Source organism: Homo sapiens, chromosome 2 (assembly GCF_000001405.40).
Source record: "Homo sapiens chromosome 2, GRCh38.p14 Primary Assembly".
NCBI lineage: Eukaryota > Metazoa > Chordata > Mammalia > Primates > Hominidae > Homo > Homo sapiens.
Window position 1 is genome coordinate 115,483,980 of NC_000002.12, and position 25,100 is coordinate 115,509,079.

Below are 25,100 nucleotides of genomic sequence, written 5' to 3' on the forward strand. Positions count from 1 at the left end.
GAATATCTTGAGATTTCAGACAAAATCATTTTTCTCCAGGGGAAACATGACTCGTGTAGATGACAGGACCCCAGACAAACAGCAAACTCTGCTCAGAATTTTAACAATTACTAAAAACATATTTCCTATCACAGACTCATTTTTTTTTGCCACCAGTACACCCCCCCCCCACACACAAACACACAGGTGCACACATACATGTGCACATAGTCAATTTTCCTGTACTTACCTGCATTATGAAATGCCAAACTTATGGTGAGTTTGGAGAGGCAATTTTTTTTTTTTACAAATAATACCCTCCATAAATAAACATAGTTATTATGAATGCACACTCATTGTGTAATAGATCTGTGGTTTGTGTCACTTAGCCAACTTTGATCATTTTCTGTCATCCAGAAAATAACTTCTTTCTTAACAACCAACACATAATCAATGCTTGGCAGTAATGGGCATGTGATTTAGGTTTGTGCCTAATTAGCACATTGCATACCACTAATGTACAGCACAGGAATGAGTACCTGGACCATCTATGACCAATGAAAGCAAGGGACCTCCTACTGAGAACCCTGGAAAATATAGTTTTGGTTTTTTTATGTTGTCTTGAAAGTGACAGGCTGTAGGGATTCCATATGCTATAGTCATTTTTTGATCATGAAGAGAAAGCTTGTCTGAATGGAGCCATCTGAAAGAAAACTATGGTAAGATATTAGTCATGCCCCTGATGACAACACTGAAGTATCTGTATCAAGTCATGCATGTCTGCATGAAGCCCTACATGCAGTCAGCCAGTTCGGGAGGTAATCTCATTCAGGCAGGAGTTTCTGATACTTCAAAAAGCAATAAATAGTCCTTTAGTTTTCTCCCACCTCCTACCTAAAATAGAAAATGGTAACAATGACTTATCTATCAATTCTTAGCTGATCATCCTTCTTCTAAAAACATTAACTTGTATATCGTGTCACGTGCCTGTAGTCCCAGCTACTTGGGAGGCTGAGGCAGGAGAATCGCTTGAACCCGGGAGGCAGAGGTTGCAGTGAGCTGAGATTGTGCCACTATACTCCAGCTGGGCAACAGAGCAAGACTCCATCTCAAAAACAAACAAACGAACAAATATTAACTTGTATAATAGCTGTTTACAGTTAGGTAAGTTACATCCTGGGCATAAGAACAAATATGATTAAGTCCATTATACAATTTTAGGCTCATCAGCATTTTTTCTTAATCATCTGAATTTTTCTCATAAACTTTAACACTGTTCCAAAAAAAAAAAAAAAAAACAAACAAAAACCTTAAAGCCTACATATGCTTGAGAAGTTATTTTATCCAAAGAAAAACGACAACCTATTGCCCAAAGTTATTGCCTCATTTCCACTTGCTATTACCTTAGAACTAACTAGTGTTTTGATATTAGTAACCATCCTATAACTATTTCTTTGTAAGTATTTTCATATATTTTATATTCGTGCCCTTCATTCTTGGGTCTGATTGTTGTTAAGTATGTGAATTTTAATTATTCTTTCTGTCACTTCTTTTAATGTTGTTTCTGTTTAAATGAATGCAATACTACCAATTTATTCAACTAAATCAATTTTCTATTTAATTAAGTCTTACTTTATGGTTTAATTATATACTTGGATTACAGTGATCAATCTTCTCTCTAGAGATTTAACTGAAATATGCAGAAATTGATAAAGGTAAAGTTATGTCATTATGCATTTGAAGAGTCATAGCATCTGTTGTTTAGATGTATGAATTAGTTTTCCAGACAACAAAATTCTTCAATACTACTCTATGCAATTATGTTGAGAACTATAACATCTATTAATATGTTCCTTTTGTCTACATTTTAAATACAGCCACTTTTTCTTTGTATATTTCAGTTATGATATTGCAATTTATTTTTCTTTCTATAATGTCAACTGAGAGTGTTAAGCTTTTGAAATAGCCAATGGTGAATTTTTAGTGTTTAGTGACATAGTATAATGCCTAATCTATAATTTTAAGGAATAAAGTCTGATCTAAACCTTGATATGTTCATGATTGCCACTGTGTATTTTATAAGGGAACATATTAAAATTATCAGTTAGTTTCCCTTGACATGTTTGCATTACACAAATTTTCCACAGTGGATTTATATTATTTTAAAATCGGAAAATATAAAAAATTATTGTCTTTGACCCATATGTCTTTTTCTTCTATCACCTTTTGTATGTCAATATGCTGATATTAACCATGACTACAGAAATATTTTCATAAGGGTGAGAAAACTTGCTTAAGTTTTACTGGCACTAGTAACATATCCATCTGTCCATTCAACTGAAATGCTAATGAGAAGACATTGCATCTTGAAAAGAAAGACATAGCTTTATCAAAGATGTTGGAGATTAAACATGTTTGTCAATTGGACAATGTCAACAATGCAGTTTAGATGTTACTTTAAAATAAGCTCTATTTTCTGCATGTATCACTGCAGTGTAGAGTTCTAGACCTTTGGGATCATATAAACACATCAATCTTTATATTTACTTTATATGAGATGCTCAAGTGGAAGAGAAGCATGAATCTGCTTACATCTTTCCTTTGCCTGGTGATTTAAATAGACTGGACCATTCAACAAGAGTGTTGAGTGTATGAGTATGAAGTCTAGAAACTTTTGGTAAGAGTTTTAACTGAAGAAAGTTAATCAGTTAAAGCTGGTGGTTATGCTACTATTCTGCAAACAACCCTTCTGGTGGGAAAATATATTTAAAATTCTAGAGAGAGATTTTATTTTCCTCTTATGCTATCTTTTTGCAAATAATCCAAAGAATGAAATGGTCGTGTGAAAATTGCTGCTATTCACATTTTAGCTACAAATCAGAAAAACATCATTTAGTTGAGTGGCTATCAACTGCTCCATTATCTAGCCTGAAAAAGGCTCTTTATCACAGGAAGTACCATTCATAGGATCGGCACTTCCACAAGAATTAATAATGATTACTTACAATTATGATGACTTTTAAATAAAAACGAACTTTATTCTGGTTACTTTTTAGGTAAATGCTTTTATTTTGGATATCTAACTTTATCTTATTTACCAGGGATTTGATTCATTTTTTAAAACAACAGACAAACAGAGAGCCAAATCATGAGTGAACTCCCATTCACAATTGCTTCAAAGAGAATAAAATACCTAGGAATCCAACTTACAAGGGATGTGAAGGACCTCTTCAAGGAGAACTACAAACCACTGCTCAAGGAAATAAAAGAGGACACAAACAAATGGAAGAACATTCCATGCTCATGGGTAGGAAGAATCAATATCGTGAAAATGGCCATACTGCCCAAGGTAATTTACAGATTCAATGCCATCCCCATCAAGCTACCAATGCCTTTCTTCACAGAATTGGAAAAAACTACTTTAAAGTTCATATGGAACCAAAAAAGAGCCCGCATCGCCAAGTCAATCCTAAGCCAAAAGAACAAAGCTGGAGGCATCACACTACCTGACTTCAAACTATACTACAAGGCTACAGTAGCCAAAACAGCATGGTACTGGTACCAAAACAGAGATATAGATCAATGGAACAGAACAGAGCCCTCAGAAATAATGCCGCATATCTACAACTATCTGATCTTTGACAAACCTGACAAAAACAAGCAATGGGGAAAGGATTCCCTATTTAATAAATGGTGCTGGGAAAACTGGCTAGCCATATGTAGAAAGCTGAAACTGGATCCCTTCCTTACACCTTATACAAAAATCAATTCAAGATGGATTAAAGATTTAAACATTAAACCTAAAACCATAAAAACCCTAGAAGAAAACCTAGGCATTACCATTCAGGACATAGGCGTGGGCAAGGACTTCATGTCCAAAACACCAAAAGCAATGGCAACAAAAGACAAAATTGACAAATGGGATCTAATTAAACTAAAGAGCTTCTGCACAGCAAAAGAAACTACCATCAGAGTGAACAGGCAACCTACAACATGGGAGAAAATTTTCGCAACCTACTCATCTGACAAAGGGCTAATATCCAGAATCTACAATGAACTCAAACAAATTTACAAGAAAAAAACAAACAACCCCATCAAAAAGTGGGTGAAGGACATGAACAGACACTTCTCAAAACAAGACATTTATACAGCCAAAAAACACATGAAAAAATGCTCACCATCACTGGCCATCAGAGAAATGCAAATCAAAACCACAATGAGATACCATCTCACACCAGTTAGAATGGCAATCATTAAAAAGTCAGGAAACAACAGGTGCTGGAGAGGATGCGGAGAAATAGGAACACTTTTACACTGTTGGTGGGACTGTCAACTAGTTCAACCATTGTGGAAGTCAGTGTGGCGATTCCTCAGGGATCTAGAACTAGAAATACCATTTGACCCAGCCATCCCATTACTGGGTATATACCCAAATGAGTATAAATCATGCTGCTATAAAGACACATGCACACGTATGTTTATTGCGGCACTATTCACAATAGCAAAGACTTGGAACCAACCCAAATGTCCAACAGTGATAGACTGGATTAAGAAAATGTGGCACATATACACCATGGAATACTATGCAGCCATAAAAAATGATGAGTTCATATCCTTTGTAGGGACATGGATGAAATTGGAAACCATCATTCTCAGTAAACTATCGCAAGAACAAAAAACCAAACACCGCATATTCTCACTCATAGGTGGGAATTGAACAATGAGATCACATGGACACAGGAAGGGGAATATCACACTCCTGGGACTGTGGTGGGGTCGGGGGAGGGGGGAGGGATAGCATTGGGAGATATACCTAATGCTAGATGACACATTAGTGGGTGCAGCGCACCAGCATGGCACATGTATACATATGTAACTAACCTGCACAATGTGCACATGTACCCTAAAACTTAGAGTATAATAAAAAAAAAAAAAAAAAAAATATGTATCTCTCATGCCATGTTGTAAAACAAACAAACAAAGAAACAAAAAACATACCTTTTAGAGTGTATGGCTATTTTGGAAATCCAAAAGAACAGTCTTTTAGTTACATTGCAATGATCGGTGATTAACGTTTAAAATATAGTAAGTAAAAGATATCTTATTTGAATGAGGCAAACAATTAATAGGCTAACACAGATTCCAGCAAACTTTTTATTTAAAGAACCAGAGGGTAAATATTTAAGGCTTTGCGGGCCATATTTTCTCTGTTGCAACTACTCAACTATGCTGTTATAGTGCATAAGCAGCCATGAGCAATAAATAGATGTAGCTGTGTTCTTTACAAAAACAGTTCTTAGAAAGCCAGATTAGCCCAATGCTGTAGTTTATGGACCCCTGATCTAGTATACTGTAAACCAAAAATAAAACCCTAAGGCCCCCAACAGACCAAACAGACTCTCTCTTGGCCAAGAGGACCCCAGAAAAACCTGAAAACCTGAATTCCTGGCTGTGATGGGAAGGGATGTTGAACCCTCTTCTTTATATCTCCTTCCTTTTGGAATTTAAGCACAACTGACCAGCATTCAGGTTAAAATAGAGATCACAAGAATAACAAAACAGTCCCTTTGTGGCTAATTAAAAACAAATAAAAGGCCATGCAAGGCAAAGGTTAAGTCCCATCCTACAAACCAAAAAATTTTGTAAAACTGGCGCTTTTTTTTTTTTTTAAATTAAGCTGGTACAATTTGACTTAATTTCTAACCTAACTACAGATAGCAGACCCTGAAGGAAACAAACATATTTTACCCCAAAATATATTTTTTGTTATATTTTGAAATGGCCCCACAAAACCATCTTTTGTAGGGAAAATTTGGATCTGCAGACAATCTCTATTAATGTAACCAGACCTTCCCTTTCCCAAGCCTTTCCCAGATCTAGGGGAGATTAGCTGACAGTCTGACAACTTTAATGTCTGAAAAGAGACATTTACCATCTATTCTCTCTGAGGCTTCATCTGCATAAAAAGAGCCTTGGCCTTTACAACCCCCTTTAATCTTGATTCAAGCATTTATTTCTTCTGACTTCAAATATTTAGACAAAGTTTAACTCTTGCAACCAATTACCAATCAGAAAATCTTTGACCCCACTGATGACATGTAAACCTTCCCCACTTCAAGATATCCCACATCTTTAGGCTGAACCCAGGTACACCTTCCTTGTATTTATTTATAGTTGTATTAGCCTGTTCTCATGGTGGTATAAAGAAATACCTGAGACTGGGTAATTTATAAAGGGGAGAGGTTTAATTGACTCACAGTTCTGCATGGCTAAGGAGGCCTCAGGAAACTTACAATCATGGCAGAAGGTACGTCTTCACAGGGCAGCAGGAGAGAGAATGAGTGCCAGCAGGGGAAATGCCAGATGTTTGTAAAACCATCAGACCTTGTGAGAACTCACTCGCTATCAGGACAACAGCATGGGGGAAACCACCCCCATGATTCAGTTACCTCCTACCGGGTCCCCTGACACATGGGGATTATAAGGATTACAATTCAAGATGAGATTTGGGTGGGGACACAGCTAAACCATATCAATGGTTTTACCTACAATTCCGATCTCCCTAAAATGTGTAAAACCAAATGGTAACCCAACTCCCTTCAGCATATTTCTCAGTACTTCTTAAGAATGTTCCCTGGGCCATGGTCACTAATATTGGCTCAGAATAAACCTCTTTAAAGTATTTTACAAAGTTTATTTCTTCCATTAACAATGCTAAGTTTAAATTTATATATGTGTAAATGTATTAAAAATTATTTAAATGTAATATTGTAACATTATGAAAGTAGGTTATGAGAGTTGAGATTTGCAAGATAGTATTAAAAAATATTCTGACACTAAAACACTAAGGAAGACCTTATTCAAAGCAATTGCGAGAGGGCTGTGCGTGGTGGCTCACGCCCATATTCCCAGCAGTTTGGGAGGCCAAGATTGTGGATCATTTGAGGTCGGGAGTTTGAGACCAGCCTGGCCAACATGGTGAAACCCCATCTCTACTAGAAATACAAAAACTAGCTGGGTGTGTTGACTCACACCTGTAGTCTCAGCTATTCCAGAGGCTGAGGCAGCAGGATCACTTGAACCTGGGAGGTGGAGGTTGCAGTGAGTCGAGATCCCACCACTGTACTCCAGCCTCCAGCCTGGGCAACAGAGTGAAACTTTGTTTGAAAAACAAAAACAAACAAAACCTCCCCCAAAAAACCCATACCAAACCAAACGAAAGAACTATTGCAATATAGAGAAGAGACTTAACTCCAACTACAGCAAACACTGCTAGAGGTACTTAGAGCCAATGAGCAGAATAATGCAGTCAATGCATGGAAAACTACTAACAGGAGGTATCCAGGGCAGGGGGAGTCTTGCTAAACTGGTATAAGAGTTATAGAGGAAAGAAACACGAAACACGGCTGGCAGTTAAAGACAGGTTTTCTTTAGTTGAAACCTGAGAGGTGCTCCTGGCTAGTTTGTCAGGAGCCCTTTCTCTTACAGACTGTGAGTATATATTTGTTTTAGGGTGAGAAGGCTTACCAGAAGCTTGGAATGTTTATGTGTGTGGATAATTTTATGGTGGGCTGGAATGTCTCTGGGAGGAGAGGAGATTATCTTGGGGCAGACATCTCTTCAGCCAGGAGGAGGGTTGTCTCGGGGCTAGCATCTTCCTGGCTGGAAGGGGTTATCTAGGGGCTAGCATGTCTGTGGTCGGGGAGGAGTTTGGAATGTTTCTGGTTGGAGATGTTATTTGTGGTTTATGGTCATGCTGACCTTAGCCATTAGGCTGATACACTTTGGATTTAGGTGGCTTTTATTAGGTTGAACTTTAGAATGAGGGGCATGTCCAAGATGGCAATGCTCCTGCTCTGTCAACTGGATTAACACAATTTTTGCTAAAGGCAAGCCATAGACTTAAATTTCAAGGGTAGGGGTAGAGGAATTTGATCAAGTGTCAAAGGCAGGAGGATTCTCACTAAACTGACCCAGCAGGATTCTTGTTAAAGGCAGGCCAAGGTCAAGGGCTAGTTGTGAAGTAGATGGAGGAGCCTGAACAAATTTTAGTCAAGGCAGATATCTTCATCAGGAGTGCTAAATGCATTTCTAAATAACGTCACAACAGCAATCAATAAATAAATAAGTACATATATATATATGATCGATGTGGTCAAAAACTTAGAGGAAACAAAAATATTTGCTGTGATCATTCTACTGGATGGGGCTGTAGTACATACTCTAAAAGCTGTGAATGACTGAATGGTGGCTCACCAAAAATTCCACCAAAATAACCTATTAAAGATAAAGCATGGCTGACTTAATTGCTTAGTTTGGTAAAAAAGATCACTCTTGTCACAGAAAGTGAGCAGCATATGGAAAGAGAAAAGCAAAGAAGAGTTGCTTATAAAGTTTTGGGGGTATGTAGTTTGACAGGTATTTCAATAAGTGGTCTTGATTAGAGTTGGGCATACTTTGTGATTAAGAGTTTAGGATAGGTGAATTGAGGGATGTGAGTGCTTTGGAGAAGCTCTTAAATAGGAAACAGTCATTTGTTTGTGCTGTATGTTGTTCTGAGAAAGATATATTTATGAGCCTTAGATGGGCGGTCTATTTTTCAAGTAAATGGGTTTTTGGAAAGTTCTTGAAAAAAAAGAAGGTTATTTGCAACTTCAGCTTCCTGGAAAGAATTTCCTGAAATATTAAAGTCATATCAATGCAGACAGTTGAATAGCAAATTGTGTTAATGTAAACAGTAAGATGTGTTGGTATAGATCGTTTCAATTCTCAAAGGAACAAGAAATAGGTTCCTTCTTGAGTTTATAAAGTAATTGAAAACCCAAAACAAACACATCAAAATGGAATAAAAAAACTCAATAAAAAAGATCGAAAGGAATTACATGATTAAATATTAACTGGCACAGGAGTTCAGAAGAGAGGGATATTAGGTGAATACTTTAAAGGTGTTGGGAATTTAACAATGCTTTGAAAAAAGTGAAAAGTTTGGACAAGATCTGGTGTATTTATTAGTGGGCATTGTAAGAAAATCTGAGTGGGAGTGAAGTTTTACATATGTGGAGAACTGTAAGCCACAGATAATCTGGACTATTTTATAGGCTATCGGTAGATAATAAATATATAAATATATGTTAAATTTTATATTTTATTATTAGGAAGCCACAGGTCTTTGAGGAGTGTTTGAGATAATGGTAAGTATTGTGTTGAATTGATTGGGCTGTGTAATGGTAATACCTAGAGCCATAGAAAACTCTTACAAAACTAGCAGTAGTCTGGGTGAGTGGTCATAAAGAACAATATAAATATAGGAGATGAAGATACAGGAAAGGTGTAACCAACAGGATGGTATGTATGTAAATGGAATTTTGAGGGAGAGTAGAGCCAAAACTATAAAAAGTTTAATTGTAGTACTGAGTTTTATATGTCTACAAGATATGTGATCTAGCATAGAATTAGAAATATAGAACTGGCCTATGGGAAATGTCAGGACATTAGTTGAATGTTTAAGAATCCATATAAGAAGGTGTGAGTAGTAAAATAGTCACTGAAGAGCTGTTGGAAAAAAAAAAAAGCCTACAGCTGAGTTTGGAAGGATGCCTTTGTTTAGATAGCAATTGAGAGGAAAGAGCATATAGAAAAATTTGAAGAACAAATACCAGGGCAAGATAGTGGTTCAAAGTCAAGAGAAGAGGATTGCAAAACCCTACTGTTCATCATCATTGTTACACACTATGAAGTTGAGTTAGGTGGATATTAAACATGGGGGAAGAACATATTGTATTTGGTTATTGCAGGTCAGTGATGATGCTGGAAGTCTGAAATTTCAGTAGAGCAAGGACTGCAGCTGTACTGCAGAAGATACAGAGAATAGCTTGTATGGCTGTTATGGAGAACAAGGTGGAAACCCCTCAGGCAAAAGGTTTATTGAGGCTTACTGTGAAAGGGAAAAAACTAGGAACAGAGAAAAACACCAGACTTAATGTACTTTTTATTTATTTATTTATTTTTTGAGACAGAGTCTCACTCTGTTGCCAGGCTGGGGTACAGTGGTGCAACATTGGCTCAATGCAACCTCCGCCTCCCAGGTTCAAGCGATTCTCCTGCCTCAGCCTCCTGAGTAGCTGGGACTACAGGTGTGCACCACCACGGCTAATTTTTTTATGTTTAGTAGAGACGGGGTTTCACCATGTTGGTCAGGCTGGTCTCATTCTGTTGACCTTGTGGTCCACCCACCTCGACCTCCCAAAATGCTGGATTACAAGCATGAGCCACCGTGCATGTACTTTTTTTCTTTAATCCTTTTGTTTTTTGAAGCAGAAATAAAAGATATTTAAGAGCTTAGAGCGCATTGACTTGTTTATAAAACAGAGCTTCTCTTTGCGAAGGAGAAAGTTCATCTCTTCCCAAAAGTCTTGGGAAAAAAATGTGCATGCAATGAGATCTTGAAGTAGAAATAAAGGATATTGAAGCCATTTCTAATGGCCTCAGTTTCTTCAGTTAAATATATGGATCCTGGGGCTCTTCAAAATATGAGGAAAGTTTAACATTGTTGTGAGCAGTGTTTTAGGGAGTTGAATTAGGAGCCTACTGTGTTTTAATTGTGAGTAGCTAAATATTCTAGATTTACCATTGATATATTTAATTAAAGAATAAAATCTTGTTGTTTAACAAACCCTTCCTAGATTTATTTGAGCATTTCCTGTGATAGTCATTTCATTTTTTCCACATTTTATTTTTAATTGCTCAGCTTTTTTTATTGAGTATAGTTTCTTTTAAAACATGGAATGCTACAGAATTTCAATTGTGGATATATCAAAAATAGTTTTAAATGAAGATTATGTTTGGATTAAAGTTTCTCAGAGAACTGATTTGCCAGAGTTTTTTCTACTTTTTGAAAACTCTTTCTCTATGTAGAGATAGATTATATATTTATTGATTTAATTTTAAAACACTGAAACTAGATTATCACGTCAAAATTAAATGCATACTTAAATTAGCCGTTAGCAAGACCAACAGAAACCAATATGGTGACTTTTTATTGTTACATATGGAAGATGAATTTTGTCGGATTTCAACTTCTCAGAAGACTCACAGCATAACCCGTTAAGCAAAGCTGAGTTTATTACCTATAATAGTCAGAAAAGACAACATTTTACAAGAGTCGGAGTGTCCAGAAGGAGAGGATTAAGGCGAAATATGAATAGGGTTGGAAATCTAGGTTTGAGTAGATAAGACTGAACTTTCAATGTGAGGATCTGGTTTGGTTAGGCACATTTCAAGACGTAATAGTTTAGGATTGGTGAACACAGAAAGGCAGGAATCTTGAAGTGAGTTGTTTGATAATTGAGCCATTTACCCAGTTTTAGGAGTTTAATGTTTCTAGAAACTAATTTTCAGCCATTTTCTGAAAAAAAAAAAAAAAAAAAAGTTTTTCGTTCTGATTTACAACGTTAAGTTCATAAACAAGAACTTCCTAGAACAAACAGTAAAATAATGTGAATGTAGGCTGCCTTTATTTTTGGTCCTGATAGATAAGGTGGATGCAGAAGTCTCAGTTCTTAATTTCAATACCACATTGAGAACTAAATTAACAATGGAAAATGCTTTATTATCTGCTTTGTGTGGAAGAGGTATAAAATATAAGGCTGCATTTACCTGAAAGATTTTAAATTAGGATACTATGTTTTTCTTTTTGTCAGCCAAATTATGGGAAAAAAAATTGGATCGAAATGGCAGTAATGATAGTTAGGGTTACTGCAGACTGAAAATACGTGCTTAGATCTCAGGGTACACAGGCCAGATAGTGATTCTATTCTGCCATACATTTTCATTTTAGGAAAACTGACTGAGTCGAATGTGTGTTCAGAATAATTGGCTCTTAACTGTCAAAGAGTTAAAAAGGAGAAAAGATTATTTAATCAAAGTACCTTGTAGATATGCATAGTGCCATGCTTTAAGAATATTTCAAGTACTCCTACCTTAATCTTTCCATGTTAATGCACTTAAGTCATTGATCTGATTCACTCATATTTGATTACTTAAAGTTAAACAAAATATATCATACAACATTTAGAAATGTAGTTCCAGAATGAAGGATCACTATTAGTCTGGTAGATAACTGTTAATCTAGTAACAGGAGTTTCAAAACTGGGGATTCCACTAGTGATTATAAATCAAACTGTAAAGTAGGATAAATATGAAATCCAGAAGACCAGATTATAAAGAACAAAAAAAACCCCAAGAAAATTAATAAGGGCAGATATTAGTTTCTTTTAAAATAATTCATGCAAAAATCTTTATTATTTATTAAGCTAGAGAATTACATGTGAATTTTAAAAGTTTATCCTATTAATGCAACATTGAGAGTCTAACAGTAAAATTTGCAGGAGTGTAGATCTAAAGGTATTTACAAATCTCAATTCTCTGTAGATTTTTCTCAAGGCCAAATAATTATCCAAGAAAATTGACTTTAAATAAACTGATATTAAGTGTAGTCTTTATCTTTTCAAACAAGCTTCACTTCCTTCTACTTTGTTCTAAGGGAAATCATGATGAATTTTCTTTCGATCACCCCTAATAACAACCTATCACTCATTTAAGATTTTCTTTCACTATGAGGAACTATGGGGTCACGCATTTCTTTTTCTCTTCTCTTGACTAGGAATCACCATTCATACTAAAATTGCTCTATGGCTTTTCTTTCTCTCTAACACCACAGACCTCATCTCAATTTAAAATTCTGCATTGTGCTTGTGTACTCACCCAATGATTTCTTCCTATCCACTGCAAAAACCAGTTCACTGAGACGTTGGTATTGCAGTAAAGAAGAGTTTCAGTAACATGAGATTAGCCATGTGGGAGAACTGGAGTTATTACTCAATGAGTTTCCCTGAAGTCTTGGAGGTCAGGGTTTTTCAAGGAAAGTTTGGTGGGCATGGGACTAGGGAATGGATGCTGCTGATTGGTTGGGGGGGATGCAATTATAAAAGTGTGGAAAACTGTGCACTGAGTCTGCCTCTGGATGGGAGGTCACAGGACTGGTTGAGTCATGAGTCCAGGTGAGGCCAGTCTGAAAATCATCTCAGAAGACCAACCTGAGGTTCTACAACAGTACTATCATCTATATTATCTATATATAGGCGAGTCACAAATCTTGTGACCTCTGGCCACATGACTTTTGAGCAGTAAGGGATTATAGAAACTATAGCTACATTTTAGGAGAATTCAGGCCTCTTTCATAATTTCAGTTTTGTGTCCTTTCATTAGTATTACAAGGGTGGTTTCAACCCCTGAACGAGGAGGGGATGAGGTTTAGGGAGGGACTATTATTATTCTTGTTTCAAGGTTAAACTATAAACTAAATTTCACCAATGGTTCGCTTGGCCAATACCCAAGAATGAGTGAAGACAGCCAGCCTACGAGCCTAAAAGCAAGATGGAGTCAGCCATGTTAGATTTCTTTCATTATCATAATCTTTGCAAAGATGTTTTTGCCTGCCTTTTGAGAGAAAAGCTACTTGTCGAGTGTTTTGTTTTGTTTTGCTCTATTTATCTCCATGATGCAATGGAAAATGGAAATTTATTTTCTCTTAATTTATTGAGAAAATATTGTAAGGATGATTTTGTTAGGGCATGCTATTTGGCTCTTGATAATTCATGATGATATGTTCATCACAATCAAGAAGTGGGCCAGAGATGAGAATATTTTAAAAAATTCATAGAGGGAATAGAAGTTAGAACTCAAAGTTGAGGTTGGACTGTTGATTTGAGCAAGCATTAATTGTGAGCAGGAGGACAGGAGATCAAATCAGCTGGCAAGACCAAATGAGCATTACAGATGATTGGTGTTGCTGTTGAGACATGATCATAAATATGAATGAAAAGGAAAAGGAAGAGAGGAAAAGAATATAAATCAAAATAAATATTTATTGTTTATGTAAATCTGTTATTTGTTCTGCATCAACAGAAAGGAAAACAGATAAAGTTAATGATAAAAAAAAAAGAACCCAATTCCTTTTTAGCTGATAAAAGAAGTTCAGAAGGTGATACAGGCCTTAATTTAAAGATCATATAGAACTATCAGTCCATACGGCCAGCCTCAGGGAGTAACTGGGAAATCCCTTCTTTATCTCCTTACTTTCCTCCTTCCTAAAAAGTCCATTTGACTTTCCCTGTTTCCCAGGCCACAGTTCCAACATGTCACTGTTCCCATGTGATTAAGGTCAAGAACTACTGGCCCTCTGTGTTATTCTTGACTCTAACAGGAGAGTCATATTGGACTATGTGTTTTGAATTAGATACTGAAGAAAACAAACTTCAGCTTTGCTAATATTTCTTGCTTCTTGTCATATAAATTGTACGTGTAACTATTAATAATATTTAAATAATGAGAGAAGGGGTCAGAAAATCTTGTTCTGCCAAAAGTGTCAGACACCTTTTCGTGTGTTTTTGTGGCTAATCTTTGTAACTCATCATTTAGTACTTGTTTTATAACTTTGCAAGTGGAGACATTCAGTTTCTGAGAGATTGTAACTTATACACATTCATTCACTATAAGTAGTGAATCTAATCTCCATTAATATCACCTTTCTTCCTAGAATGAGCAGGAGATTAGGGATGTGTAAGCAAGAAAAGGCTAGAATTGGGTAAAATTGGGTAAAAAGATTATGATTTAAAAAGAGAACATATTCAAACCTACTTTAATGTGGCTATCTTCTCTTTTACCTAATCATATATATATATATAATTATGTATAATTATATATATATATATATTTATCTCCAGAGTATCCTTATATCCTGTCAGTTTTACCTCGTTAGTAATTTCAGGCAGAGATATTGTTAAGATGTTTTAATTTTCTAACAAATATGGCCAAACTTACCTCAAAAATATGTAAAAGCAATTATCTGAAAGAAATGCAATTATTTAAAATGAAGACATAGTTCTTCTAGAGTTGAAAAAGTTCATTCATTGATATAGTAGTAGCCTCAGATTTTGAGCTGCAATTGTGCAAGCCAGGTAAAATACCACAGAAAAAATTCACAACCCAGAAGAGAATTCAAGATGCTGAATAGGAATTCAGTGGTGGTAGAAGAATTGGATCCATAAATAGGTCTGCATGAGAATGATTCAATCTTAGGAGACATAGAACTGTTAGAGTTACAGTCAACTGGCAGCACTTTTAAGTTAAAATACTGGATCATCATCAGTAATGGTTTACTTTAGAGACTGGAGGCACTTCTCTTTGCCCATTTTTTCTCACCACAGAATGTGCAGCAGACTGCCCATATTTTAATTAATTTTCATTTGTTAAACCATGAACCTGAGTGGCCCTCATACTAACCCCTTGTTCATTGCACAATAGACCATGTGTTAGGCGGGCTTCCTGATCTTTCACGAGAATGAATGCCAAGTACAGAAATCTGCTTGGGTTATTGAAGGCTAAAAATGATTATTCTAATGTGTCTGTTTATTTTGCACGTTTTCTCCCCTACAGTTACTATATTATCTAGTCAATGTATTTGTCAATTGTGAATGTCTTTGTTGTTGCAGATACAGATGTGGTGTATAAAAGCGAGAATGGACATGTCATTAAACTGAATATAGAAACAAATGCTACCACATTATTATTGGAAAACACAACTTTTGTAAGTAATGAATAATTAATTACTTTATGCATTTCAGTACTGTTTAGAAAGCTCTCTAGATGTACATAACTTTCTATTCTTCAGCTCCAGCATTTGTAAAGCATTTCAGGTGAAAAGTTGGGGCTGGAATATCATAAGAATCAGTAAATCTATTGATAAAAAATACCCTGTGACTATCTGCTTCATTTTCTTCCCGTTTACTCTTGTTAATAATTGGAGAAATATTTCCAAAAATAGTAGTTGCTTAGAAAGAATAATTTTCCCAATATTTTATATATAACATTAGTCATACAAATACCAAGGTTAAAAACAATGGCTCATCTAGCCTTATTTATTATTAACTTTCTTTTCTTCTTTACTTTTCATTCTTTCTGACTTCTTTCTAGTTCTGTTGTTTTCTGGATCAGATAGAAAGGCTTTCTAAAGGTGGTCTTCAGCTGAGGTTGATGTGTTTTAGAATTTAGGATTCTGTCAGTACCATTTTACTTATTTTGTATCACTGTTTCGCCAACATGGTTTAAATTATTGTTTGTATTTATATTGGTCTTAATACAGACTTTGTCTTTCTGAAAAATCTAGTACCCTAAGGTTAGGAGACTTAGCTATAATTACCTATTTGGTAAGCAATAATGAATCAGTATTGCAAATGTTGAAAATCTAGCTACCCAACACCAACGAAAAATAGTACACAGTTATTTACTTACTATTTTATTGTAATTAAAGTTTCAATAGACTGCCAATTAGATGAATGTATACAATACAGACAAAATATAGTACAAGCTCTCAGAAAACCTCCACAAAATAAAAAAATAAGCAAAATTGTTGGCTACTTTTAAAAATGTATTCTACTTGTACATTTAAAATAAACGTTTAATCTTCGTATTTATTATGGAATGGCCCTATGGAAAAAATGGACTAAGAATATTCTGTTTAGTATTTTTACATATTAAGGAGAAAAGGTCATTACAATCATTAAGTGATTATATATGTATATCATTGGGCTAAATTTAACCAGCCAACTAATGTACATTAATAATAAGGTCATCAGCCAGAAGAAAAATAATGACATTTTTGGTTTTAAACTAATTACAGGGAATCAAAGAATAGTTACTTTGTGTGCAACTCTTTATGGTACTCGTGGGATGTCAAGGATATGTACAGCAGATTGCCTACTGTCTAAGAATGTGGATTTCCTTTGGGAGATAATACTAACCCTTACGGAGAATTTTAATAAACAGTATACAGCAGTGTTTACTATTTCTTCAGTGGATGGTCCTCAGGGATACTAGAAAAAAGCCTAGAGAATCATTGAGAAATACTGTCAATAGTGGAAAATTAGCCATTAGTAAGAAGATAGGATAGGAGACAGAATTCCAGAATTGATAATGATGAGAAGGTATGATGATAATATATGGATTAAAGTCAGAATGAATGGATTTTTAATAAAATTAGTTTGGGGAACAAAAATTGAGTGCATTTTAATTTTTGCTTTTTCTTCATAAAGTAACATAATTTTATGGAGATTCTAGGCCCTCAGTAGCCAAGCATTCAGGTTAGATATACTCAGTACATGAATTATTCTATTATGTGGCTGTGCCTCATTAAATACTCATTTACACAAGTCAGTGAGGTTTTCCCCCATCACTAATTATGTTTTGGTTTTCCATTATTTATTCATTACTTTTTTATCTTCCATGATACATCAAAAAAGAAACCAAAACAAACAGAACTTTTAGATTATTATTCCATTATCTCAATTCTTTTGCTGGTACTACACACCATCACCATCTCATATCATTGTGGTTTTCTCCATGTGCTAATTATTGCTGTTTTATCTTTGTGTTTCTGTGTTATATCTTTTTAAATCCTTTTGAGGTCTCTTTCTATTCTCCTCTACATTAGCCGTGACTCTTAATTACCACAGGGTCATATTTAGCAAATATTCTAATTTACTTGTCTTCTAAGATTCATATGCTCCCTAAGGACATTTATGTCACAACACAGATAATTAAGCAATTTATAAGTCCTAGAGGTGTCTAAATTCGATGTCGGGCAGGGGTTAGGGGAGTGGAAGGTGGCATCAGTTTGCAACCAGTTACCCAAAACTGAGAACAAAAATAGGAATTACCATAATTCCAGATGATTTCAAAGGAGCTTGTTTAATCATTCTCTCCTAACTTCAAAATGGCATTATTTAATACACTTATGTTTTTAATACTAACGTTAGGCTAAAACCGGGATTTAATTTCTCTTCCAGGAAACTCTGTTGAAAAATATATTTTATTGAAACATATTGCTGGTTTTTCTGTGAGCAATTATCAATATCTTAATTATAATAATAATTAATTGGATCAGATCAGTATAAAAAGCTTTGAAATGAAAGCATGACAAGTCATTTGAGAAAATAAATATACTATTGATGAAAATGTCATAACAGAATGGCCTGTTCTATAGTAAGACATATTATGCTAAAATATGACTACAAATTTATTTTTAAAATTAAGATAATTTGACATCTTAATTTATCTTATGATATCTTGTTTGACATCTTATCACTTTTCAGCTTAAACACATTTTAAATATGATTGGTGTGTACTTTTGGTTATGTAATCATGGTTAGCAGACTCTATGATTAAAATAAATATTGGGCATGGTTGCCAAAATAAAAAATACTTTTTTAAAAATGAAATAATTGTGTTAAGGCATTCTTTTGGATTGAAGGTAGGTGGATTTCTAATGAAAGGAGGAAATTAAAGGGCATACAACTTTTGAATTAGAGGATGGGAAGTAAGTGGTTTAGCCTCAAAAATGCTCTTTATAATTTCTAAGTGTTTGGAAATGTTATCTCTTAAAGCCAGAACTATTTCAAACAAAAGCTCAGTCACAATGTCATAATGAGGAAACTGTTTCCTAAGTATTAGCTGTACTCTTTCTGCTGTCAATAATCTGAATATCACCAGTGACCACGGCTGAAAATACCGGCAGCTATAAATTGTTTTATCAAATCACTTTTTGAAATTATAAGGGGGTTGTAAACATAAGTCCAAGCCCCATGTGCTTAAGTATAGTTAAGATTTTAAAAATATGTATCTTTTTTGTTTTTTAAGACACAAGCTCTTGCTCTCTTGCCCAGGCTGGGATGCAGTGGTGCAATCATAGCTCACTGCAGTCTTTAAACTCCTGGGCTCAAGTGAACCTTCTGCCTCAGCCTCCTGAGTAGCTAGGACCACAGGTGTGTGCCACCAGGCTCGGCTAATTTTTTAAAACAGTTTTTTTTTTTTTAGAAATGGAGTCTCACTATGTTGCCCAGGTTCATCTTGAACTATATCCTCAAGTGATCCTCCTCTGGTGGCCTCACAAAGCACTAGGTTTATAAGAGTGAGTCACAGAGCTTGGCCCCCTAGAATATATATCTTATGCATTAATATGAAAAGGAATAATTGAGAGATAAGACTCTAATCTGAAATCTCTGAAACTCTGTAAGCCTATTTAAATACATTCTACTAAAAAAGTAGCCATAACACAGGAAGGAAATTCATATATGGCAGCAGAATGATTCCAAGCAAAATGTTAGTTACGTATTCATTGGTCTAAGTGTTTATTTATATATAGGCAATTACAAAATAGTAGGTTTGGGAAGAACCAAGGAAGATTCATTGATTTATAATGCCTAGAGACAGCATCAGCTGGCTTCGATGTCATCCTAGTGTTTTTCATTTGGTTTCTTTGTTGTTTTATTTGTTGTGCTGTTGGGTATATGGAGGTGATAGATCCAACTCTGTACCGCTGTGAAATCAAGAAACTTACTATTCAGTTTGTGTTTGAGTAAATAGGTGCCCTATTGAAACAACAACAAAAACAAACACAGTAGCACAGATAAAGAATTACTGAACAAAGGCACCGACAATTGTACCTCATAAAATTTGAGATGAGGAAAGATTATCAGAAAATTCGATTGGCCACGTAGCCTCACATAATGGCCAATAGTAATGGATGATTTGTTAATTATTTGTAAGATTTGGTCTACTCAGTATCTGTTGGAATCCCAGTAGTGATAGACATCAGTAGTGTAACTAACACTGATTAATCAGTGAAGCTGTGCATATCAATGTTGTGTTTTGACAGTATTGTTTCTTTCTTTCTCTAGAGCAGTGTTTCTCCACTGGGGGTGATTTTGCTCCCAGGAGACATTTGTCAGCTCTGGAGACATTTTTGATTGTCCTGAATGAATGTGAGGGGTTTGCTGTGGGAATCTAGTGAGTAGAGGTCAGAAATGTGCATCCTACACTTAACGCAACCAGAAATGTCAGGAGTGTAGAGTTTGAGAAACCCTGTTCTAGACAGAGATACAAGAGAAACCCTGTGATAATTAGAAGGTAATTTTCTGAGGTGGGATCAAAGTAATGACTTTTAAATTGATAATTTTAAGGGAGATATTAAACTGTGGCTTCCAGGTTCATTAGTTTCAGGTACTTTTCTTCTTTTGAATAACCCTGCAAAGAAGACCAGCATGCATGAGTAGGATCATTTGGCCTTGGCTTCCTCTCTTGTGTGTATTGCTGAGTATAAAATAAAAGTGTGACCCAGTTTTCTTACAATTTTTGGATGATACTTCTGATTGGGACTTTTTTGTTCAGATAAGTTAGTATCACTTATTTGGCTATTGCCAACTTTTTTTTTTTTTTTTTTTACTAGGAAGCAGTTGTTCCTTTTTAAGATAGAGGATAAAAACTGATGGCTACTGGGGACTCCAGTCAGCATAATTGCTTTCATTGGTGCATTGTGCTTATGAATAATTGAATTTCATCATCTTTTGCTTGGGCATGTCCTTCCCCTCGCTATAGCAGTTACCATTTCCTGTTGCTAGATACCTTCATATTTATCTTATTTTTATCATTCACTATGAAAATATTTAGATACTTATTATATCCACAATATTTATTTAAAAATGATTATTTATGTTTGTTTACATTATTTAGGTAATATTTGGAATATTTCCAATTCAGTCATCAAAATAGGATGTAACATTGATGTACATTCAGGGAAACAAATGGAATAATACATGTTTCAGCAAAGATTGGACACCTTTCTATATTTAGTTAGGGAAGGAAACATTGAATCTACCATAGACATTTAGGCTCTTCAAAATTTTCTGTAAGTTAGATATATGTGAAAGTGAATTCCAGCATAGCTTTAAAAGTAGTGGTCATTAAAACAGGGAAATTAGAAAGAAAATTTCTGATCCTTACCCTGGAAGTCTACTCAGGCACTATTTTAATTAAAAGTGTGAGAGGAAATAGTCTTGTTGCTTCTATGTGTTTGCAAGTGTGACAGGATTACCCTGCAGTTTCAAACAGTTATTCATACAGTTCCCCATAGGTTTAAAGGGCTAAAATTGACTACTACATTATTATTTTTTACCCTCAATTACCATTATGAAGGATCTAGAAATTAGATTCTACTAACTAATTTATTCATGAGGACAAAGTATCTCAGATGGTAGGACCATTTTATTGTCAATAATCATAGTGTTACTAATAAATCCACATTCATAGCCATTTATTATGCATATTGTTAAATGAGTAAGTCATCCTTATAAACAAAGTTATCTAAGTAATATATAAATAAAATTATCTGAGTAATATAAAAATAATATTAAAAATAATATAACTAAATTGTTTCCTTCAGATAGGAATACAATTATGACAAAAATTAATTAGATGACACTTGTTTAATTATATGAACTAGAGCTTGGTTCAATCTTGTCTGACAGAGCCTATTAGATATATGTGATAAAAGGATTACAATTCCAGTGTTGATTTTTTTAGAAGATTCTTATTTAGTCTCTTTGGAGCTGGAGGTGTCAGACAGGATGCTGGAAACCAACAGGCAGCTAGATTTATAACAACTGTTTGCGATTGTTTTGGAATTTGGCTTCCTGAGAGGTCAGCTCTCTGACGTGTATCCAGAATCAGTCAGTCCATCTTGAGCAAGTCGAGGCTCTAGTTTAAACATTTGATGGATATTTCTGCCCTTCATTTTCTTGCTGAATAATTTTATATATTGCTGTCTCCCAGTCATAGAAAGCCAATTAGAAATTTTTAAAAATACTGGCCAAAGGATACAAAGTGTCAGACAGAAGGAATAATAAGCTTTAGAGAAACACAACAGGGCAACCAGAGTTAAGAATAATGTATTGTGTATTTCAAAATTACTGAGAGTAAATTTCAAATGTCTTACTACAAAAAGATGGGTATGGGAGCTGATGAATATGTTAATTAGCTTGCTTTAATCATTCCACATTGTGTATTCTTCCATATATATCAGAACATCACATTTTACCCCATAAATATATACAATTATAGTTTATAAACTAAAATTATTAATACAAATAAAATAATAAAACACTCAGTGTTTTATTACTTTATGATGGAACTTAAGCAAACAAAATACATTTTCGAGAAACTTTTCAAGCTTTGGAAGTTGATGATATAAAAATAATTTTTCCCTTCTTTTGATCTTTCAGAATACTTCAGTCTACACAGCTTTGATGATGTAGAACTATGCGTTGCCAAAACTTCTGCAGCCCTTCCACACTTCACATTACATAATACAGATATTTTAATAGTATATTGGAAATATATTAAATTAGTATTTTAGTTTGCTTGTGAAACATGCGTGAGCATTCAAGGAAGTTCAATTTTTGGTAAACATTAAATGATAATGACAGCTCATTATAGAGCTAGAAAGCATTTTCCCTGTCTCCTACTTCAGTTGAAATTTAAAAAAGTAAAAAATCAACTGAGACCCAGAGAAATAAAGAGACTTGCTCAATAAATCTAGTGTAGTCTTGAGACTAAGGAAAACATTTCTTGACTCCTAATCCATTGTTGTTTTTAATATTACTAGCTGAGAATTCCATTCAAAATACCTTTTAAAGAAATGTGAAAATAAATAATGATCCTTTAGTTTTTTATATATATAAAAATCTATGTTTATTTGTGGAATTTTTACTTAAACCTTTTAGGAAAGATGCTTGAATTAAATATATGTATGTTTGTATGTATTTATTCATATGTTCACATAATACAGATAGAATAGATATCTATGTATAGATCTATCTATGCAGATATTGATCTATCTATATCTATCAATCAATCAACCAGTCTATCCATTTTACTACCAGATAATCAGTAAGGAAACATTATATAGTGAGTGGAAAAGAGGAAAACTGTGAGTGTGGTTTACATAGCTTTGTTTGCCTTAACTTGTCTGAAGTCATCATATTTGTTTTTAACATATTTTAAATATTGTGATGACTATAACCTGTGTCATCATTCTTTCCATCCAAATGTTTTCAATTATTGTTGAAATATTGCCTCGTGAACAAAGGATAACAACCTTGGCTGCATTACACACACACGCACGCGCACACACACACACACACACACAGACACACACACCCCACCAAGCAAGCAGCACCTATTATTATGAACTACTACTCTACTTCTCTTCTTTCCCCTGATATATCTGGCTGAAATAATCTAGTTTATATTTGAATTTCTTCTGTGTCTTAAAAACTTGTAGAGATTTTTCTACTTCTCCATCTTTATGATGTTTCTGCATCATTGTTGAAATGACTCATTATGCCTTATTACTTTATTAATTTATTTGCCAAGTGTTGTTTGGATCCCTGTTGTGTGTCAGATAATATTCCAGATTCTGGGGATACAATGGAGAGCAAGACAAGTTTGTCAGACTGACAATAAATGAGTAATTCATTGAAAATACAAGAAAATGTCAGCTAGTAAATTTAAATCCTTGTTGAAAAATAACATAGGGTGAGGTCTAGAGAATGATTAGTTGCTTAGGAAAGGCTCACTACGGAGATAACATTTCAAGGTCAAATTGAAGAGTTGTGTAGGTTGCAAGGCCAGTAATTACAAACAACATAGGGTTCAAACTATATAGATCTATTCCAAGAACAGAAAATATGTAAGTGGTGGACATGGGTAGAGAATGGTACAAGATGAACTCAATGAGATAACTAGGGGAAAGATTTATACTGAGTTTTGTAGGTCAAGGTTTTATTTTGTGAGCAGTAGGTACACTCTGAAGAAAGAAAGTGGCAATACCTAAGTCATATTTTAAAAGTACACTCTGTCAATTATATGGAGAGCATTTTCTAGGGATATTAAAGTAGAAACTGAGAGACCATTCTGAAGGCTATTGCAGTGGTACAAGTAGGAGAAGATGCAGGGTGTGAACTATGTACAGGGATGCTATTGGAGAAGGTAAAAAGTAGGTGGGTGGAGGATTTGCTTGGAGATAAAATGGGTAGGGCTTTGTTGGTTAATTACCTTCAACTTGTTGGAAATAGAGGAATCAGCATCATCTCTGAGGTTTTAAATGTCATTAAATGGGTAATTCTATTTTGAATATTTTGCCACAATTTTTGACAATGGAATCTATTTCATGGTTAGGTCTTATATGTACATGTTTATGCATGTTTTCTGTGTATAACAGTATAACAGAGGAATTTTTAGAAGCCTGGTTGAAAAAATCTTGAAATAAAATTAACAAATTTATAATAAATAGAACATAGACATGCAATCCATTGTCTCTTGGGGCTTAAAATATATTATATTGCCTATGATTATTTGATTCAATGACTCCATAATATTTTATATGCTTTTTCTGTCCCAACTACAACTACAGCTGAAGATACAATAGAAAATAGGAGAGAAAATAGGAGAGCTCCTGCCATAAGGAAAACAGGAGAGCTCCTGCCGTAAGGATCTCATTATGTATTAAGGGAGATATGCACTAATCAAATAATTAGATATATAAACATTTACAATTTATGACATAGAATAACTGCAAAGTATAGGAATATAAGAATGAAAGTTAAATATTGCTTTTACTTTTATTGCTTAATATCCATGTCAGAATTTCTAATGCATTGGCTGTATCTGTTTTAAATAAGTCACGGAAAGCTTTCCTAAAGAAATGAAGATGAGCCGGGCTCAATGGCTCACGCCTGTAATCCCAGCACTTTGGGAGCCTGAGGCAGGTGGATCACAAGGTCAAGAGATTAAGACCATCCTGGCCAACATGGCGAAACCCCATCTCTACTAAAAATACAAAAATTAGCTGAGTGTGGTGGCATGTGCTTCTAGTCCCAGCTACTCAGGAGGCTGAGGCAGGAGAATTGCTTGAACTTGGGAGGCGGAGGTTGCAGTGAGCTGAGATAGCGCCACTGCACTACAGCCTGGCAACAGAGCGAGACTTCATCTCTAAGTAAATAAATAAATAAGAAATGAAGATGACTGCAGATAAGTTGACTAAGCAAGAATATGGCTTGAGCATAGTGGGACAGGCATGAGGCATGGAGTATTAGAAACAAAGAATGCCATGGTAGTGGGAGCAGCACAAGGAAGGGGGAAACAGGTTGGAGAATTAAGTAGTGGCCAGA

The 25,100-nt window shown here is 34.9% G+C and overlaps 1 protein-coding gene across 24 annotated transcripts in view; it reads left to right on the forward strand.

Moving 5' to 3' along the window:
- The window catches only part of DPP10 (dipeptidyl peptidase like 10), a 1,403,140-nt gene that overhangs the window by 1,041,339 nt on the left and 336,701 nt on the right, over positions 1-25,100 (forward strand). For all 24 annotated transcript variants that reach the window (NM_001321910.3, NM_001399849.1, NM_020868.6 and 21 more), the window contains 1 exon segment: positions 15,531-15,625. In NM_001321910.3, coding sequence (NP_001308839.2) covers positions 15,531-15,625 — 95 coding nt within the window.